General features: G+C 35.1%; 1 long non-coding RNA gene across 2 annotated transcripts in view; it reads right to left on the bottom strand.

Moving 5' to 3' along the window:
- LOC107984041 (uncharacterized) overlaps positions 1 to 21,116 on the bottom strand; it is a 367,164-nt gene that overhangs the window by 34,345 nt on the left and 311,703 nt on the right. For both annotated transcript variants that reach the window (XR_007059692.1, XR_002956381.2), the window contains exon 6: positions 9,133 to 9,199. This is a non-coding gene — a long non-coding RNA (uncharacterized LOC107984041). The remainder of the gene's footprint in view (positions 1 to 9,132; positions 9,200 to 21,116) is intronic.

The raw sequence follows: 21,116 nt of genomic DNA, 5'->3' as shown, positions 1-21,116 counted from the left end.
AGGATGTGGAGAAATAGGAACACTTTTACACTGTTGGTGGGACTGTAAACTAGTTCAACCATTGTGGAAGTCAGTGTGGCGATTCCTCAGGGATCTAGAACTAGAAATACCATTTGACCCAGCCATCCCATTACTGGGTATATACCCAAATGACTATAAATCATGCTGCTGTAAAGACACACGCACACGTATGTTTATTGCGGCATTATTCACAAGAGCAAAGACTTGGAACCAACCCAAATGTCCAACAATGATAGACTGGATTAAGAAAATGTGGCACATATACACCATGGAATACTATGCAGCCATAAAAAGTGATGAGTTCATGTCCTTTGTAGGGACATGGCTGAAATGGGAAAACATCATTCTCAGTAAACTATCGCAAGAACAAAAAACCAAACACCACATATTCTCACTCATAGGTGGGAATTGAACAATGAGATCACATGGACACAGGAAGGGGAATATCACACTCTGGGGACTGTTGTGGGGTGGGGGGAGGGGGGAGGGATAGCATTGGGAGATATACCTAATGCTAGATGACGAGTTACTGGGTGCAGTGCACCAGCATGGCACATGTATACATATGTAACTAACCTGCACATTGTGCACATGTACCCTAAAACTTAAAGTATATCCAACTTCCTCCTGCTAGCAAGCTATTAGAATGAAGTGACAGAAAGTTTAGCAGGACTTGATCTCTGATATCTCCTAGTCAGTTTCTCTGCAGTCAAAATGGGAAGGATTAGTTAAGAAATGACGTTCAGTAGCTGGTAACAGTTGCTAACCTTCACACACAATTACTAGTATGATTTCCTCTTATTTCTTTATTTATTAGTCAGTATTTAATAAACACCTTTATGTGTCAAGTGTTATAAATTCAGGTGTGCGCACAACAGGCTTAAACCCTCCCATCATGGAGTTCATTTACAGTAAAAGAGAGAGGTTGTACACCTGTGAACAGATAGATGGGATATGTGAACAGATAGATGGGATATCATATTGCAAAATATGATAAATGCTAAAAATAAAAAGAACAGGTATTTTTGTTATGTTCTACCCACAAACTGATGATTTAATAAAAACCACCAGTCAAAATAGACAAAATTTTTTTAAAATTTCATTCTGGATATTGGTAGAGGCTGAGACCTTCCTGGTTAGAATTCAAACACTTCTGTACTGATTCAGTTTCAGTATTATAACCATATCATGCCATGATTTTCTTGCCTGATTTTATCTCCGTATTCTTGAATCTTTCATGGTTATTCTGTATTAAAAAAATTATGAAGGACAAGGTGGGGTGTGGCAGTTAGAGGAAGTCAGAACATCAATTTTTTACTGCATGTGTAAATAATAAAATGCTTACCACCATAAACACTTAGGAACACTGAGGAAAAGCAAAGGAAAAACAAAAGGCTGTTAAAATGCTGACAATGCAATGACAATTAGCTTGGGCACTTTATCTATCAATCGATCTATCAATCAGTCAACTATCTGTTCCTCAGGCAAATGCAGTCAAGCCAGATATCAAACTGAAATGATATCTCTTTCCAAGCACAGCCAAGCTGCGATGCCCAACAAAATATAACACGCTTCTAATGTATACACATTCCAGAATAAAAAAGCATTCTTAGTTGTATGTAACAGTACATTTAATATCAACTAAGGAACAGTTTATCTTCAGTTTCTGCTGTGGAATATACTAATGATCTTTTTTCTGAGCTTCCAGCACAATTATCAATTTAAACTTAAAAGACAAGTGAGAACAGTTTAATTATTACTATTAGTTCAGGAAATGCCATGTAGTAATTTACTGAGGTGAGGAAGCTCAGAAGGACATTCTGTGTAGAGAAACAGCATTAAGCATTATATTTTCTTCTTTCTTCTTCTTGCTTTTTTTTCTTTTCCTTTTCAATGAATATTTTTCTTGTTAAAATCACTATGGGCTTTATTTTATCCAAAACACAGAAAAGCAGAATATATCCTTATAGAAAAGGCTGGTATAGCAACAAATTATTTCTACATGCTTAACTTTCCCAAGGTGAGTCATATTTAGGTGCATTTTATTGTAATGATTGTTTGTGGGTTAATTAACATTATAAAATTATGCTGTTTTCTTATTTTTCTAGATAGATGTTAATCTCTAATTCAATTTTACGGTAGTTTAAACATCATTTTTACATGTATCTAGAAATGTCTGAATTTTAGAATTTTAGGACCGTTGCATTTCTTCTATCAAGTATTTTCTCTTCTTATCTTTTGTTGTTTTCATTCTGCTTGTTATTCATCTTTTGCTTATGATGTGGGAGAATAATTTTAAGTATTAAGAATTTTAAACCTCTGTCATGTGTTATTTTTATATATTATTAGACATTTTTCATTACTTAAGGACTAAAATACATTTTAGTTTCATGGCATCTCGGGTTTCAGTATTGTTAAGAAGACATTTTCTACCTCCACAAGGTAAAATTGTCATTTCATTCTAATGCTTTGTCAAAAAAAATCAGTTAGTACTTTTTCCCATTGAATTTTAAGCAAGCCCCCAGAATAGCTAACTAGCATCAAACTCCTGAAGAGACTGCTACTGTACCCATAGCGATGAAAGAGAAATACATAGAAATAAATAAATAAATGCAACTGTGACCAAAAACCTCACTATGCTGACATCCAAATGCTCTAGGGATCTGAGTTTGAATACAGTCTTCCCTGGTCTCCTCAGAAAGGGCCCAGGCTGAGAGTGAGGCTGAGATCTGAAGTTGACCCTTCTTCAGAGAGGGTTCAGTCCATAAAGTTGTCTGGGACAGCCCTCCTTCCCTAGCCATCTTTACCCTTTTCCACAGCCTTAAAGGTGATGTTCCACAGCTGACTGGGGGCACTGCACTTCCTACCTGAAGCAAGTGCTAGTCCATTTCAAGGAAAATGGCATTTCTCCTCATCAGATGAGGAAGGTGAAAAATGAAGAAACTCCAAGTAAAGGACAGGTAGAGGAAACAATAAAAAGCTAGTATCTTCATTTTTCAAGGTGGAGAATGAGCAATTCTGTCTGAAATTCATAGAACAAGGATAATAAGTGAAATGATTTTTTCACAGTAACACACAAGAAACAGATAAACTGAAAATAATAAAACAGTATTAGGAATATGGGCAACATAAAACGAAGAAGCAGTATAAACAAGTCCTTGCTATTCACCTCCTGGATGGAGTATGTCTAGGATAGATTATGTCCAAGAGTTCACCAGTCAAGAAAGAAGAGTATAAGCGTCTTATTGGAAGGCTAAACATAATGACCATAAGAACTAAAAATGAAAATCGTTAAATTTGGAACTAGGAATAGTGCAGGGTGGAGCAGAGGACAAGGAGGCTGGAGCCATATAAGACCCCTGTGCAACTGCATATTTTAACCATGTGCATGTTCTACTTTTATAAAAAGTAAGTATATGTGTAGAGTGCCAATATACACTTAATGACCAGCTCTAGCATCACCAAAAGTTAGGCATTATCTCCTAATAATGAAATACAATAACAATTGATGCCAATGACTGTGAATTATTTTTGTCTTAAAAGAAGCTAACTGTAATCAAACATTTATATTCTAACAACCAGTTTATTGGAAATACATGGAATAAAAAAATGAAAACAAACTGAACAACAGAAGAATAAAACAATCAACCAAATTTCAAAATGTTGGACATTCTAAAGGACAAATGATCAGTGTTCTAATAAATCAATAAATAAAAAGGGTGAAGAAGAAGAAGGACATAAGAAACATAAATTAAAGAAAATATGTAAAGCACGTTTGATTCCTGGTTTGAATAAGCCAAGTGTAAAAAATACATTATTGAGAGACAGTCAGGCAAGTGTGAATATAAACTGGGGAGAACACAAAGCAATTGCTATTAATTCAATCAGTTAAGACAATGGCACAATGAGTATGTTAAAAAATGACTTTGCAGTGAGAAATGAATATGAAAGTATTTATAGGTAAAATGATATAATATCTAAGATTTGCCTTAAAATATTGCAGCAAAACAAAATGCTATGGGTAATAGTGAGTAATAAAAAAATAAAAAGTGTTGATTGTTGGCTGTGAGTGATAGGTACACAAGTTCACTCTGCATATTATGGTCTCCATTTTCCATATGTTTGAAAGTTTCTAAAACAAAAAGATTTTAAAATTTTAGTAAAAAGTGCATGAAACTCAGATTACTAAGACACTTTAGTGACACATAATCATGTAGAAAAATTTTAAACTATAGATAAGCAAAATTAAGATTTTAAAAAAGTCACACAATATCATTGTGGTACACACTAGTTCAAACCTTTTTCTGTGTATGTGTGCGCAAAATAAAGTGGATGTTTCCACTGAAAGAAATATTTATTCTGAGAGAGAGGAACTGGGAGCCGGACTAAGTCCTCTGAGCTGATTCTACCGTCAGTTTGTGACAACTTCGAAAATGCTCTGGACTAAGTCACTGTAGATTTGCCTTGGAAAGCAGGGCTATGAGTGAACACTGCAACAACCATTAAGTTTTAGAGTATAAGCAATCTTGGTGTTGAGTATCTTTGGTCAAGGAAAACACAAAAGAAAATACATTTTTCCCTCACACCCTAAGGAGTGGGTTGCACTGGACAGAAATATGTATCGGCAGAAGGGACACTAAACACACCTTTCGTACCGACAAATTTCAAGGGCAATATTCACTTCCAGTCTTGTTAGAAATCTAAGGGGTACGGTGACTTATTATGGAGCAACTGGCACTCAGTGGTAATGTGCAGTCATTCAGCCTCAAGGGAGAGCTTCTGAATTCTGGCTCTTGCAACATGGCTAAGAAAACCAGAATAGGTCCTTTGGACATGAGAAAACAGCCAAAGGTGTTCTTGGAAATATATCTGAGGAAGGGCCTCAAGGAGAGAAAAACATTCCACCAGTCTTTGTAGGAAGGTGCTCTAGTGTTGTGCTTTGGGTACTACTGAAAAGCCGTTATATGCTTCCTAAGCAATTAAGCAAAGAATCTCACTTAAATACATATTTACATAAATATAATCAGATGTACACACTCATTGTTTTATTGCTCTTAATAAATTTGAACATATCAATAAATAAACTACAATATCTTATCACATAAGTATTTGATTATATGACTGCACTTCAATTTGCTCAATTTATCTTCTATATTTAGAAGTTTAGATTGTTTTCCAATTTTCGCTACTGCAAAAAAGTGACACAAATAAGTATTATGTAGTCAAATATTTGTGATGATCCTTAATTATTTTCTTAGGATGAATGTCAGACAGTGGAGTTTCTGAGTCAATGTAGTATTATAAATGAGCAAAAAAAAAAAAAAGAAAGAAAGAAAGAAAAGAAAAGAAACTGCCCCAAAACAGAGCTTAATATATGTAAAAAATTAAATATGTAATAAAGACATCATGGATTCGTGCAGAATAAAAGTTTTTCAATAAATTCTGTTAGGCCAATTGCTTAGCTCTTCGTGAGATTTATATTTTATACCCCTCTTTGTTACAGAAATGTTTTAAGATGCCTTAATATGTATCACACAGCAAGATAAGGCAAATTTAAGATGGGAGAAATGAAATAAGAGAAAGATAAAGACAAAAAGGAGAGAGGTTAATTTTTAATGCGTGCATTAATATATTATATACTTGCTGGACATGAGCCATAAACTTTATTTTAACTTTCTAGAATCCAGAAAGCATTAGTTACTTAATTCACATAGACCATAAGATAAACACAAACTGGTTGCTAAGGAAAAAAACACAAATACTTGTGTGTTGACCCCTGCAGGAAGTTTCTCCATAGGTTCTCTTGGAGAACAAGGTGTAAATGTAATGCACAACACCCTTATGGTATGCGCAGCAACGCATTTCGTCAGGCTGCTTCCCGCAATATCCTTCAACCTAAGTTAATGTCATTGTGTCAAAGTGCAAGTCAATACAAACTCCACAGGATATAGGAGCAATAAAACAAAGTTCACACAGGCAGCTCCCTATTGAACTGGTTTTATCCAGAGACAGAGTACCTGAAGGAAGATGAATGGCATATTTTTCAAGTCAATCTTCCTTAAATTTCTGTCAACAAGAACTTTGATGGATGTTGAGCAGAATTGATTTAGTATTAATATAATACTTTCTCAATGTACCCTGAGTGTAGCAATATTCAAAGAAGATAATGGGACACTGAAGCTCCTTACAAGCATACATAAACCTGCATAGAAGTCCATCTCATCTCCTTGAAGTAATCAGGGCAAGTAACTTGAAACCGTTTAGATGGAATAACTAAGTCAGTTAATGGGTCCATACTCTTTGCATCATGGTTCCTTATACCCCAGTAGTTAAATACTTATGTAATGAGACATTTCATGTATAATCTCCCTGCTAGACTATAAGCTCTAAGGGCAGGAATCATAGCAATCTCAACCAACACAGTACTGAAACATCACAGGCACTGACAACCTATCACTACCATCACAATTATGTGTCTTGCGTGGAATACTGACCAATAAATTCAGGCCTGTAACATACTAGGCAAAAGAATGGCACACATTTTGGGCAGACTGTTTAGTAAGTCAATAGTCTATACTTTGCAGGGATTAAAAATGCCCCTGTTTTATTAAAAGGAATACACTCAGACCTGGGAGTTCATATAATTAAATTCTACCTGTTGAGCTGATAAAATTGAAAATGTAAGCAAGAGCTAAAGGCCAAAATTCAGAGGGAGACTCTTGATAGTGTTAAGGTCAGGAATCCCTCCCCAGTTGCTTCTTTTAGCTTAAAACTTTAATTATATTCTATCTGGGTTCTGCAACGTTTGAAGCAGGTGCCTTTTGTTTATAAACTGGAAAGAATAAAATCTTCCAGGTGGTAATTTCCCAGAGGTATTGAACTTGTTAAACAAATGAATCTCTAATTGATGGAAATGCAGGCAGCTGTGGAGCTCATATTGTAGGGAGGGGAACTTTCTTTCATACAATACACTCTGCCTATTGGTAGATGAAAGTGGGGGGAAAAAGAGGAAGAAACATATGAGCCCCTTTCTCTTTCCCATTAATCCTTGTTTTCTTCATTTATAATTTTTTTCTAGTGTGCAGACCACTTTATAGCATATTTTGCACTATAAGTTACTTGGACATCTTGTACATATTCCATATTTTTAATAAATTGCCACATTTTATTAGAATTATTTAATAAGATATCTAACAACATGCTTTTCCTAAATAATGTAGCAAAAAAAATGCTCTTTGAGATTCTATAATAGCACCCCCAATCATGAGATATAAAAAGTCTAGTGAAAATATGATCATACTATAATGAGGTATATGTTTAGAATACTGACTCTATGAAAAATTTTTAACTCATATTTTTGTTTTTGCTCTGGCAGAACATGTAAAAATAAGCAACCTTATTAATACAGCAGTGAAAACATTCATACTAATGGAAGACTTTTTTGCTATCACTTTAGATAATATTCATAGTAAAACTAAACCTTTTAAACTAAATATTTAACTAGCTTTAAAATCTATCCTTGATCTTAGTGAGAAAAAGTAAATTTCTGTAATTATGGATGAATTTAACAAATTTTGCATATAATCCAAGAAACTAAACTAAACTCACCTGTTTCATTTGCCTATATCTCAATGATCAAGACAAAATACTAACTTTTCTTGAAACTAGACAAAATTAAATTCATTATTAAAACAACAGTTTACACCATTAAAGCAATAAAAAAAAAAAAAACAGTAGAGTCCTAGGCTCAATAAAACAAAGGGCAGAGTGCCATCTATGTATAATTATCCAGAGGCCTGAACCACTCTTTCCCATTCTTGGGACACTGATCACTTTTATCACATTTCCAACTCTCAAGAGAATTCCAAAGTAGGAGAGAGGAGAAATAGTGAAGGGGAAAAATAGAGCAGAGGGAGAACGAATGTCTGGCGCTTTAGGAGAGGCAGGTAGAGTCCCTGCAAGTTTTCCAGAGAGGAGAAAAGAGAATCTTTTTTCACTGAGTCAACAAACATGAATGCTTTCAACATGCCAGAAAATGTTCTAGACATTATTATGGCATCAATTTTAAGTAGTTAAAATAACGCCTTCAAAGATTCAGACCATAATAGTCCTTGTCCAAAATATCATATGACTGATGTGGAGCAAGAAACGTGTCCATCAAGAAATCCAGAGTAAAGGCAGGAGTGACATCAGCAAATGAGAAGGACTGATATCAACCAGCTTTAAACTGTCATGATGAAAAAGCAACATCAGTTGAGGGATGCCAAATGACTCATGTTTTTCTTTATTTTTGTTTTCTATTATGATGGAGAAATATGCTTTTTGACAACTCGTATATTGAATATGACTTAGATTTCACAATTTAAAGCATAAGTTTTAAGTCTACGGCAATTCTTTGGTAGCAGATCTGGTATACATGTGTTCTCCCCTGAACCCCACCATACCCACTCCTGATGTTCTTCTTACTTTGGACTTCTTTGCAATTTAGGACAAGTTTTGTAACAGTGAGAATCCTAAATATAATGGTGACAAAAATTTTAATTGCTTGACAAAATGACTAGTATAGTGCAAGACCTAAGATAAAAGCTTACTTTGGAACATATAACATGTCAAGGCTTCAGGGCCATATACACCCTGACAGTGTCAGTTACTCTCTTTTGACCCAACTCCTTCTGAAAATTTCACAGCTGTGCTATCTCTCTCCTTTCCTGCATTAAGTATCACATTAATCCTCTGACCCTATCCTCACTAAGCATCGTTGAATACAGGTGCCCTCCTCTGTCAGCTCCTTGATGCTCACTGCTCACAAAAATAACCAGGTTCAGAAAAAAAAAATCCTAACCTGCCTTTACCCCCACCTATCTCAGGGAAAACTTAGGAAAATATCAGGAGTCATAAATAATAATTGTATAAATGGTAACTCCATTAAAAAAAATTATTACAACCACAAACATTCAAAAACCACATTCTAACATCTTAAACATAGTAGTGGTTCAGTAAACATTTATTGAAACTGAACAAACAAATGATAAAGAAAATCAGTCTTCCTTTCCACTCACTAAATTGTAGTTGAATTACAGTTGTTTAATAAGATGGTAAAGGTCTACTTACGCTACATAATGTAGCCCATCCTCTGTGTCTGTGGGTTCTACATGCACACATTCAACCAACTGGAGATCTGAAATATTTAAAAATTAAAAATCATAATAATAATATAAATAAAATACTCCAAAACAACTATTTTTATAGCATTTACATTGTTTAGGTATTGTAAGTAATCTAGACATGATTTAAAGTACATAGGAGGATGTCCATAGGTTATATATAAATACTACACCATATTATATAAGGGATTTGACCACCCTCAGATTTTGGTATCTATCGGGTATCCTGGAACCAATCCCCCATGGATATGGAGGGATGACTGCATTTTTCACGATTTTGTTATTACTGTTCTCTTTTCTAACCTATGAAATACTACAGTCTGCAATTTAAATATTTGTATGTATATATTTAATTAGAAATAACAAATTTGTAGGTTGGGGTCTTTCCTCCTCAATAAAAGCTATTTTAATCCAGAAGATAAGAAATCTAAGACCACTTTATTTGGTCAACAATAACTAAACTAAAATGTCCTAAATTAGGTCATAGTACAGGAGACCCTACTGACTGAAATAAGCCATTAGGCTATTTCAAGTTCCAACTTCTTTTATTTTTTCTAGATAATTATAAGACATAACAAAAAAACGAATAAACACTTTCTACATCCTCATGCAGACATGACATTTAGGCCTTCATAGTTCATAATTTCCACAAAAGTCAAATGGCTATTACTAGTCATCCTGAGCTGTCATAGCTTATAAAGCAATTAAGACCTTTTCAAGGGTTTGTAATGGCTATTTTTTCTTAAAATACTATGGCAAGCAACAAATGACATTTGGCTGCACTTAAGTCATTTTAATGGTTTGATTGGATCACATTCATCATTAGACCAAAAAACTCAGAGGGCACTTTTCTCATAAATCTCTTTATACAAATCACTGCTGCACATGCATTACTTAACAGACTGTTCTCAATTCCTAAGTACAAGGACATAAAGGTAGTCTTGAAGTTTAAGCTGCACCTCTATTATCATACCTTGAATTGGTGCACTAATACCAGACTACATCCTCAGCATTTTATAGGAACTCTTTCTGTTGCTATAGAGCCTTCATGCCTACATATGTTTATGTATGGGAAGACATACGGCTACTACCAGAAGGAAGCATTTTTGAAAGCAATCTGTAATCATAGCTAAGTCTTTTATGCTAGGTCTTTTAAATGATGTGGAAGACAAGTGTAATGAGCAAATCTATGTACTGGCTGGAGTGACAGGTGCAGATAAAGTCAAGCTCTGATTATCAACAAAGAACAGGCTGAAGCTCAGTGCTTAAGAGAAATGAACAGAAATGTGCTGCCTGAAGGCTCCAAAGCAAATGCTGAGGCCTTGATGACAGCTTCCATTTTCACTTACAACTTGCAAAAGATTGATGACAAGTGGTAGACGAAGGAAAAAGATAGCCCTGATCCTATATATACACAGCATATTTCAGCAGTTTCCTTGGGAATATTAAAGTTATTGTTTTTACATCCTAAATCCAGATATAGTTCCAACGAGTAATCAAGAATCTAACCAAAATTACATTAACCCACAGGAATTGAAAGCATAGAATAATGAAAGCTAAAAATGTATTTAAGAAGAGAGAGCTGAAATTTAAACTAGTCTTTCATAATATTCAATATATAATTGAGCTGATGCATGCTGTCTTAGTGTGTTTTTGCTGCTATAACAAAATACCTTAAATTGGGCAATTTATAAAAGACAGAAATTTATTTCTCACAGTTCTGGAGGCTGGGTAGTCCATGATCAAGGCACTGGCCTGTTGCATGTTTGGTGAAAATTGCTGTCTGCTTCCAAGATGGAGTCTTGTTGCTGCATCCTCCAGAGAGAACTAACCCAGTGTCCTCATATGATGGAAGGAATGAAGGGCCAGAGAACTCTCCTTTCAACCTTGAGCCTGTTTACAAGAATGTGACTCCCATTTATGAGGGTGGAGCCCTTATGACTTAATAACCTCTCAAAGGTCATACCTCTTAATACTGTTGCATTGAGGATTAAGTTTCAGCATAAATTTTAGAGAGGATGACATCACTCAAATGATGAAATATGTGCTTAACTTCATGGGATGTAAATTAACAGGTAGTAATATTTTCTTTTTGCTACACTTAGGTGATCACAGTTCTTTTGGTTGCCATCCATGAATCATTGTATTGTTGCAATTACTCCTCTTTGGTAGCATAAAAAGCCAACAATCAATTAAACAATAAGCTTTCTCCTATCATTTATGAAATAGAGAAGATTGATTGATAGGGAAGTTGGGTGGTTATGGTTTTCTGTTTTCTATTTATCAACTCCCTGGTACTTCATTGAATCTTAGACACTATCAATTATAAGACACATCATTATTTTATATACCACTACAAAAGTTTTTAAAAACCTGATAACTGAACTATGACATTAAACTATGACATACCATCAATTATATGCCACATTCTAATTTCAAAGATGTTAAATGTGAAAAATATGGTAATCTCAGAATTGCTGAAATATGGTATCATGCTACACATGAAGAAAAGGGCCACATCTTGGTCCAAAAAATGCATAATTAGATAATTAATTAACCATTACCTAATACACAGATATAAAACTTTAATTTTATAAGCAGTTGAGATCCAGAAGAGCAGATGACTTAAATCACAGAGAACTGATGGGGTTGTTGAGATTTAAATGCAGATTTGCACTAACTGTGATGGCAGCTTCCGTAACTGCAACTCCTACTTCAAACAGTAGGTGACTATGTGCCTGGCAGTGAGTCATGTAACCCTCTCTCTGGATCACTAGATTAAGAATGAAGGTCCACAATAAGAACGTAGCACCAGGTTCTCTCTACAATCCTTTTCAGACTTAATGATCTTTAGTTATTATGCATAAATGCAATAGCATATTCTACACAAAACTATAAAGTAAAAATCTAAAATGTTTATGAAGGATCCGATCTTCACTCATGCCTATTATAATCAACACTTATTATTTTATTGTCTGTATGCCAACTAATTTCAGAAATAATTTAAAGGAGCTTAAAGAAATAGACAAATATATAATAAAGCCATTAAAGTAAATCAGAGGAAAAAGAATTAAATACTAAAGGGTAGAAGATAATTGTATCATAAAACCTAGGCCAAGAAGAGCTATATAAATTTAATCAAAAAATTAGTTATGGGCATCTTTAAAATTCAAAACAACAAAAAATATTTAAAATGATTTAAGGAGCATTTGTAAGATTTATTACAGGAAATATTCCTTAAGAGGAGAATTACAAGGAAAGACACTGATGTTTCTGGACAGAGTCTTGAGCGAAATTAATAAAGAGATTCCTAACGTGTTTTGCATCATTGACCCTTTTAACAATTGCTTTGAGCCCTGCCCCAAATTTCCGTATGCAAATACACATAAAATACTGCATGTTGTTTCAGGGAGTTCTTGAAACTAGAATTAAAAACTTCTGCCTTGATTTCTCATCCTTCTGTCTGTGCCAGAAATTAAGGCCTGCATTCATGGTTTGGGCAATTCCTACCACACATGAGCTGAGGGGAACTTCCATTTTTCATTCCTTCTGCACTGAACTCTCCTGTAATCCCTTTACACCAAAGTAGGACACATGCTATACACAGATGCCACTGAGATGTGGCATCTCAGTGAGATGTGATCTTCAACTTTGCTGAAGGGTGTGATTCCCCAGTCCTGGGGTGAATTCTTTAATGCCAACCCCTACAACAATTTACCTCTATGTTCTTCTACATCTCCATGCCAAAAAAAATCTGTAATTTTTATTGCTTTTAGTTTTAGAAGTATGTTCCATTTCCTTCAATTTAAATAAATCTTGATTGCCACTTCAAAATTGATTTAAATTATACAAGTAGTACAACTTATCATGAAATCATCAATCTAAAAGTGTAGGTAGTATGAAAGCATGTGGAAAATCTTCCCATGTGTCACTTCTCAATCTTAAAATTTGAGTGTATTTTTCCAGAATTTTATCCATGTTATAAACCAGCATACTTCTGTGAACTCAAACACAAAGATACATGAATTTATTATTATATAAATAGTAGGAAACTTATTGCTTTATACTTATTGCTTTGCTCTATAATACCATGTGCATATCAAGTAGAAGTTTACTGCAAATATAAGGTAAATTTTTACTTTCCCAATAAGTGGATCCAATATTTTTGGAAGGTGGTCAGCTTTAGTGTACAGACATTTAGAGATGTATATAAAATAGCCAATGTCTGCTTATAATGTTGACTTAATTTTGGAATGATACATGCTTTAAATGAAACATTGTATGAAATACCACTTTGCTCCCACTCTCCAGTTTCATGAAACTGAAACATTTCAGATGTATGTTGAACATAAATATTTGTGATCATTAGAGCTAGTTTTGGAGTCTTGTAACTTAACTTTTTGAAGTGTTTTATCTTCAACTCCATCTAACTGTTGGGAATGCCATTACAGCAAATGTATTCCAAACCATAAGAACTCACTCACAAACTACTAGAACAATAATTTTTTATTATGAGGATTATTTCCATTTATCTAATAGACCAGCAGTTATCGAAGTGTGATTCTGAGCCAGGAGCATCAGCATCACCTGGAAACTTACCAAAAATGCAAAATGCCAGGCCTGGCATTTATCTGACCTATGAATTAGAAACGTTTGAGAGGGTGGGGCCAAGTAATCTGTATTTTAACAAACCCTCCAGATGCTTCTGTTGCACACTGAAGTTTGAGAAGCACTACAGTAGATATTTATTTCCATTTTCCATAACATATTTACTTATTGCACTGCTTTAAAAATAATATTTTTAAACTTTATAAACAGTTTCAAACACTTTTATTTGTGAATGTATATACACAGGAATAAATAACTAACTCTACTTCTACTTCTCTACTACTTGGACTTCTTCAAAACTATTTTATTGATTACATCAGATGAGCTTAACAAGAGAGCATAAATGGCACTGATAAAAATTACTGAAAGCTATATCCTCCAAACAGCATTTCTTGCTTCAAACAGGATAATTGAGATAACATCCTATAATATGATTTCAAGAGGTCTCAAACATAAAGTAATTGTATCTTTTTTGAGGAATAATTTTTGGAAAACAATATTTCCTTATAATTATGCATGTATACTACTCCCATAGCTTCATAACATTTACCACTGTTGAGAATTTATGTGTATGGATTATAACTAAGTTCTGGTTATGGCAACTTATCACAATTTATCAGCACTGTAAGAATTACCTGTGACCAGGAAGAATATCTAATTTACATATTTGTAAAATCCAAAGTCAGATAAGAGGTTGTAGCAGAGTCAAATGTTCACTATGCCCATTTAGAACCAACATATTAGGGCTTTGACCCTGCTTTGTAACACCTGCTTCCTCTGCAGGACTGTCTGTTGCTCTTCCACTGTTCCAATGCTGGAAGGTGGAGTCTCTGGCCACAAGCTCTGGACTTTGCTCTGACAAGAGATCCTTGTACTGAATCTTATCCACAGTGATGATCTAGGCAGCCACCAGTGGGAGAGGAACACTACAAGGCAACTAAGGAACAATCACAGATACCACCTAGATGCTACTGTAATGGAGGCTATGGTATTCCACTTAGATTCTCCATTTAGGACCAGGGCACTCATTGCCCCAGCTGCCAGGAATGTTTGCCAACCACGCTTCATAGCTCAATCCCACTACAGGAATTGGCCTCAACCAAAGAAACTTCCTTCACCCACACTTATACCCTCCACAGGGACAACCTATATTCAAAGACTGCTCAATGTAAGGGTACAAAGACTCAACACTCTTGCTTCCATTTATGACAACTTTGAAAGTCCATCCCAGCCCCAGAAATCCCCATGGGGTCAACTAAATATTCCAACAGCATCACAGTTCAGCTTTTCCACTGCCCAATCTGGCAGCCCTCTCTCCCTCACAGGTGTTCCCCAAAGCACTCCCAATACATCACCTACATGCAAATCTCTGTCCCAGATCTGTTTCCCAGAGAAACTGACATAAGACAGGAACTGTGGCCTCCTGCCCATACTGTCTCTCTTCCTCAAAAGTGTTGGTGGGAGATTTAATTTATACAGATTACATAATTTTATACTAAATAATCTGTTGTGTTAAATAATTCTATGATAAATGTAAGTATTTTGTGAAGGTTACCTTGGTCAGTTTCTCCATTTTTACATTAAATCCAATTGATATAGTATTGTATTACAGGCTTTAGACCTGCAGTTGTTTTGTTGCTACCCTCCTACATTTTTTAAACCAAATGTTGAATACTATTCTAATATGTGGATATACTACAATCTATTTAACCAATTCACTATTAATACAAGTATTTTTAAATTAGATTTAATATTATGGAAATAATTTCTACATATGATTTGAAAAGAGTAATTACAAAGTAGAATATATGTAATATCTCCCATACTGTATCCCCGATTTCTAGTTCCCAAAAATGATCACTTTAAAGTATGTGGTTTTTGATCTTTAGGGACTGCCATTACAATTCTAAATAAAATAAGTAAACTTTTTTTCAGTTTATCAATTTGGATTGTATTTGTTGATGTCTCTTATGAAAGAGGACTGCTTTGACTATGTTTTATCAGCCACTTCCTCATTTTACTTAGTTATATTATTACATGTAGTTGTTCTAATGGTCTCCCTTTTAAGTTTAAATAATGTACTGAATCCTCAAATTCTTGATTCACCATTGTAAGACATTATTAACTTTTGACTGTTTATAATAATAGTAAGTAGTGTGACTAGACCTGAAGTTAAATATTTTTCTTCCTCTTAAAAGAAAGAAACACCTATGCTTGTAGATCTTCTGAAGAGTTTCTTTAACTGCCTTTATTTATTTTATCCTATTTCATCTTTCCTGTATGGCCTGGGAGACTCTGGTAAGTGTGATGATTCACAAGTTGAGTTGTGAAGTTAAAGGATCTGATTTACATTTTTATTTATTTTTTTATTTATTTAGAGACGGAGTCTTGGTCTGTCGCCCAGGCTGGAGTGCAGTGGCATGATCTCAGCTCACTGCAACCTCTGCCTCCCAGGCTCAAGCGATTCTCCTGTCTCAGCCTCTGGAGTAGATGGGACTAAAGGTGTGTGCCACCACACCTGGCTAATTTTTGTATTTTTAGTAGAGATGGGGTTTTGCCATGTTGGTCTCAAACTCTTGACCTCAGGTGATCCACCTGCCTCAGCCTCCCAGAGTGCTGGGATTATAGGCGTGAGCCACCACACTAGGCCCTGATATATAATTTTAAAGGATAACTGTGACTGTTTGGAAAATAGATGGTAAAACAAGAATTCCAGTTAGAAAGATATTGTACTGGTCCAGTCTAAAATGGGAGAGGTAGACATTGTCAATAGTCAGACCTAGATATATTTTGAAGGTTAAATTGATGGCCTTGGTGTGGGATTAGATACCAGATTGCAAAAACAGAAGCAGAATCAAGGATGACTCTTAGATTATTGTCTTAGAAATCTGGGAGAATGATGAAGCCAACTGCTATGGTTTGAATGTTTGTCCCTTCTAAAATTCATGTTGAAATTTAATTGCCATTTTAACAGTATTAAAAGGTGAGACCTTTAAGAGGTGATTAGGCCATGAGGGATCCACCCTCATTGGTGGAATTGGTGCCTTTATAAAAGGATGAATTTGAACCCCTCTTGACCTCTCTCACCCCATCATCTTCCACCATGAGATGACACAGGAAGGGACTTCCTAGACTCCAGAACTGTGAGCCAATACATTTTGTTCATTATAAATTACCTAGTCTCAGGTATTCTATTATAATGGCACAAAACAGACAAAGACACCAACTAAAAAGACGTGAAAGACTGGGAAAAAGAACAATATTCGAAGAGAAATATCAAGAGAGTCCTACTTAATGTCTTGAAAACACTTCGAACTTAGCACGTTTTAAAACTAAAAGTGCCTAGCACATAACAGGTCATCAATAGATTTTTATTAAATGAAATGAAGGAAGAAAAGGCAGAAAAAATAAATAGGAAAGATTCAGCTATACAGAAGGCAATTCTTAATTATTCTACTTATCTATGGCCCAGTTTCTCTTTTTGTAATTATTGATCCTGTCTTAGAATCTCCTGGGGCTCACTTGGGAAAAACTATTCATAGCTTTCATTTTCATTGTTGGTCTCTCTAGTTTCCCTATCAGTTCCAACCTGTCTGTTTTGTATCTTCCATGAGGTCCTTAATACCCCTGACGTGTTGATGTTGCTCTTTCTTTTCTTGCAGCACAGTTATGACTTCATTCTTTTGAAATTTACTTTATGTCATTTGCATAATACTTTGGAGAAAAGGAGAGATGAAAGTGGGTATTTAGCACACTACGTTGAACTAAAGGACTCCATAAATAATGTTTAAAGTTGGTAAGAATTACTTGAACAAAATTTTAAATCTCTAGATTGTATAAGTATTAGGTTGCAAATGTATCATTTTAAAATAGCATTGACACTAGATGGAAAACAATGTATTAGAAAGAAAAAAAAGGATATCTAGCTCCTCACTGCAGGAGTTTGTAATATTTTTAAAAAGACAAAGACAAATTAAAATAAATATATATAAAGGATATGAAAATAGTCTATTAATTATACAACAGTCCAGAAAACAATGTCACACCAAATTCAAAAACTGCAACAAAAAATACTTGCAACAGCATGGATTTCTGTCTTACATTTTGTTTTTCATTTTGCTTTCTTTTCTTTCCATATGTGAGAAGCATTGAGGCAAGAATGAATGTGTCATTTCTGTTTCTCAATTGGAGAAAAAATTCAGAGAAGCGAGATTTTACAGATATTATCAAAAACTGATATTTACTGTCTCTCTTCCACCTGATCTAAAAAGGATAACACAATAGCAGACCCCATTGCATATTCTGTATGTCGCAGTAATATTCAATGAAAATACCATTATCCACTTTCCCCCCTTCAACATCCTATACCACCAAGAAAATCTCTTTGCACAGAGTGGTTTTAGAATAAATATAATTGACTGACAAACCTAGAAGAAATGGTAAATACTTTAAACCATTCCCTCATTTCCATTTTTTAAAATTATAGCTTATTGAGCTTCTCTGAAGTCAAAGCAGCTGGGGAAGTATGCAGGAGTTTGAGGGCAGGCCAACAACCTAATTCAAAACATTACATAGGCCTAGAATAGATGTAAAATGCATTGCAACAGAATAAAGACATGGCTACTCCTACTCACATGCAGGGGGAAATGTGAAATGAAACTTACTATGAACTGATTATCTTCCTTCCTTTCCTGAATATAGGTCTTCTAAATTTCAAGCTATGAGCAATGACAAAGGAATGAACTAAACCCTATGTTGTCTGCATCTAACCATCTGCTTTTCAAAGTTATGTTTTAAAAGGACACATAGGGACAAAGCAATCAGAATCTCTTCTACTGCAAACATTCTTTAAATTTCTTTAAAAAGATTTTCCTTAAATAGAAGGAATCTGGGATGAAAATAAATCTTGAATGTTTAGTCATCCATTTGACCATGAAAACAAAGCATTCAGACATTTTTAATAAAAATGCCATATCAGTTGGGATTTGAACCTAATGTTTTTGAAATATAAGGTACTTAAAACTGTTTATAGTGCTCTTTTTATTTGTTTTAATGAGACCGATTCCACTTATCTAGCTTTTCTAAAAAGCGAGTCATGGAGAAATGAAATTTTGACACTTCTAGTTCTATAAAACACATACACACACACCACATACACATACACACGCACTCACACAAATGACAACTTTGCTGCTATTTACAGATAAAAGTTAAATTTTGAACACCTTTTTTCTAGCAGTCATGTCTTCTAAATATATAGCATATTATCTGAGTATTCCAATAATTACATAGCTCTCCTTTCTGTGTCTGGTTTAATTAGCTATTATTTTTCCTATTAATGAAGTAAATCAGAATCATAGATAAACCAAAATACAGTTGTGTGATGGGCCGCATATATGCTGGTAGTCCCATAAGATTATAACGGAACTGAAAAATCCCTATTGCCTAGTGATGTAGTAACCATCATAATGTCATAGCACAATGCATTATTTATGTGTTTGTGGTAATGCTTGTATAAACAAAACTACTGCACTACCAGTTACATAAAACTATAGCACACACAGTTACGTACAGTACATAATTCTTGATAATAAATGCCTATGTTACTGGTTTATGTACTTACCATATTTTTTATCATTATTCTAGAGTGTACCCCTTCTACTTATTAAAAACAAAAATTTAACTGCAAAAACACCTCAGGTAGGAGGTATTCCAGAAGAAGGCATTGTTATCACAAGAGATGATAGTTTCATGAACATTATTGCCTCTAAAGACCTTCCAGTGGAATAAAATGTCAAAGTGGGAGACAATGAGTGATACTGATCCTGAACCTGTGTAGGCTAATGCCTGTGTTTGTGTCTTAGTGGGTTTTTTTTTCTATTTTTTTATTATACTTTAAGTTCTAGGGTACATGTGCACAACGTGCAGGTTTGTTACATATGTATACATGTGCCATGTTGGTGTGCTGCACCCATTAACTCATAATTTACATTAGTTATATCTCCTAATGCTATCCCTCCCCCCTTCCCCGACCACATGACAGGCCCTGGTATGTGATGTTCCCCACCTTGTATACAAGTGTTCTCATTATTTTTTAATTTTTTTTTAATTTTTTTTTTGAGACGGAGTCTCACTCTGTCACCCAGGCTGGAGTGCAGTGGTGCGATCTCGGCTCACTGCAAGCTCCACCTCGCAGGTTCACACGATTCTCCTGCCTCAGCCTCTTGAGTAGCTGGGAATACAGGTGTCTGCCACCACACCCGGCTAATTTTTTGTATTTTTAGTAGAGACAGGGTTTCACAGTGTTAGCCAGGGTGGTCTCGATCTCCTGACCTCGTGATCCGCATGCCTCAGCCTCCCAAAGTGCTGGGATTACAGGCGTGAGCCAGCGCACCTGGCCAAGTGTTCTCATTGTTCAATTCCCACCTATGAGTGAGAACATGTGGTGTTTGGTTTCCTGTCCTTACGATAGTTTGCTGAGAATGTTGGTTTCCAGCTTCATCCATGTCCCTACAAAGGACAATTAACTCATCCTTTTTATGGCTGCATAGTATTCCATGGTGTATATGTGCCACATTTTCTTAATCCAGTCTATCATTGTTGGACATTGGGGTTGGTTCCAAGTTTTTGCTATTGTGAATAGTGCTGCAATAAACATATGTGTGCATGTGTCTTTATAGCAGCATGATTTATAAACCTTTGGGTATATACCCAGTAATGGGATTGCTGGGTCAAATGGTATTTCTAATTCTAGATCCCCGAGGAATCGCCACACTGACTTCCACAATGGTTGAAGTAGTTTACAGTCCCACCAACATGTAAAAGTGTTCCTATTTCTCCACATCCTCTCCAGCACCTGTTGTTTCCTGACTTTTTAATGATTGCCATTCTAACTGGTGTGAGATGATATCTCATTGTGGTTTTGATTTGCATTTCTCTGATGGCCAGTGATGATGAGCATTTTTTCATGTGTTTTTTGGCTGCATAAATGTCTTCTTTTGAGAAGTGTCTGTTCATATCCTTCGCCCACTTTTTGATGGGGTTGTTTGTTTTTTTCTTGTAAATTTGTTTGAGTTCATTGTAGATTCTGGATATTACCCCTTTCTCAGATGAGTAGATTGCAAAAATTTTCTCCCATTCTGTAGGTTGCCTGTTCACTCTGATGGTAGTTTCTTTTGCTGTGCAGAAGCTCTTTAGTTCAATTAGATCCCATTTGTCAATTCTGGCTTTTGTTGCCATTGCTTTTGGTGTTTTAGATATGAAGTCCTTGCCCATGCCTGTGTCCTGAATGGTATTGCCTAGGTTTTCTTCTAGGGTTTTTGT

This window comes from Homo sapiens, chromosome 6, assembly GCF_000001405.40.
Source record: "Homo sapiens chromosome 6, GRCh38.p14 Primary Assembly".
Classification (NCBI taxonomy): Eukaryota; Metazoa; Chordata; class Mammalia; order Primates; family Hominidae; genus Homo; species Homo sapiens.
This window is presented reverse-complemented; position numbering and strand designations above follow the sequence as displayed.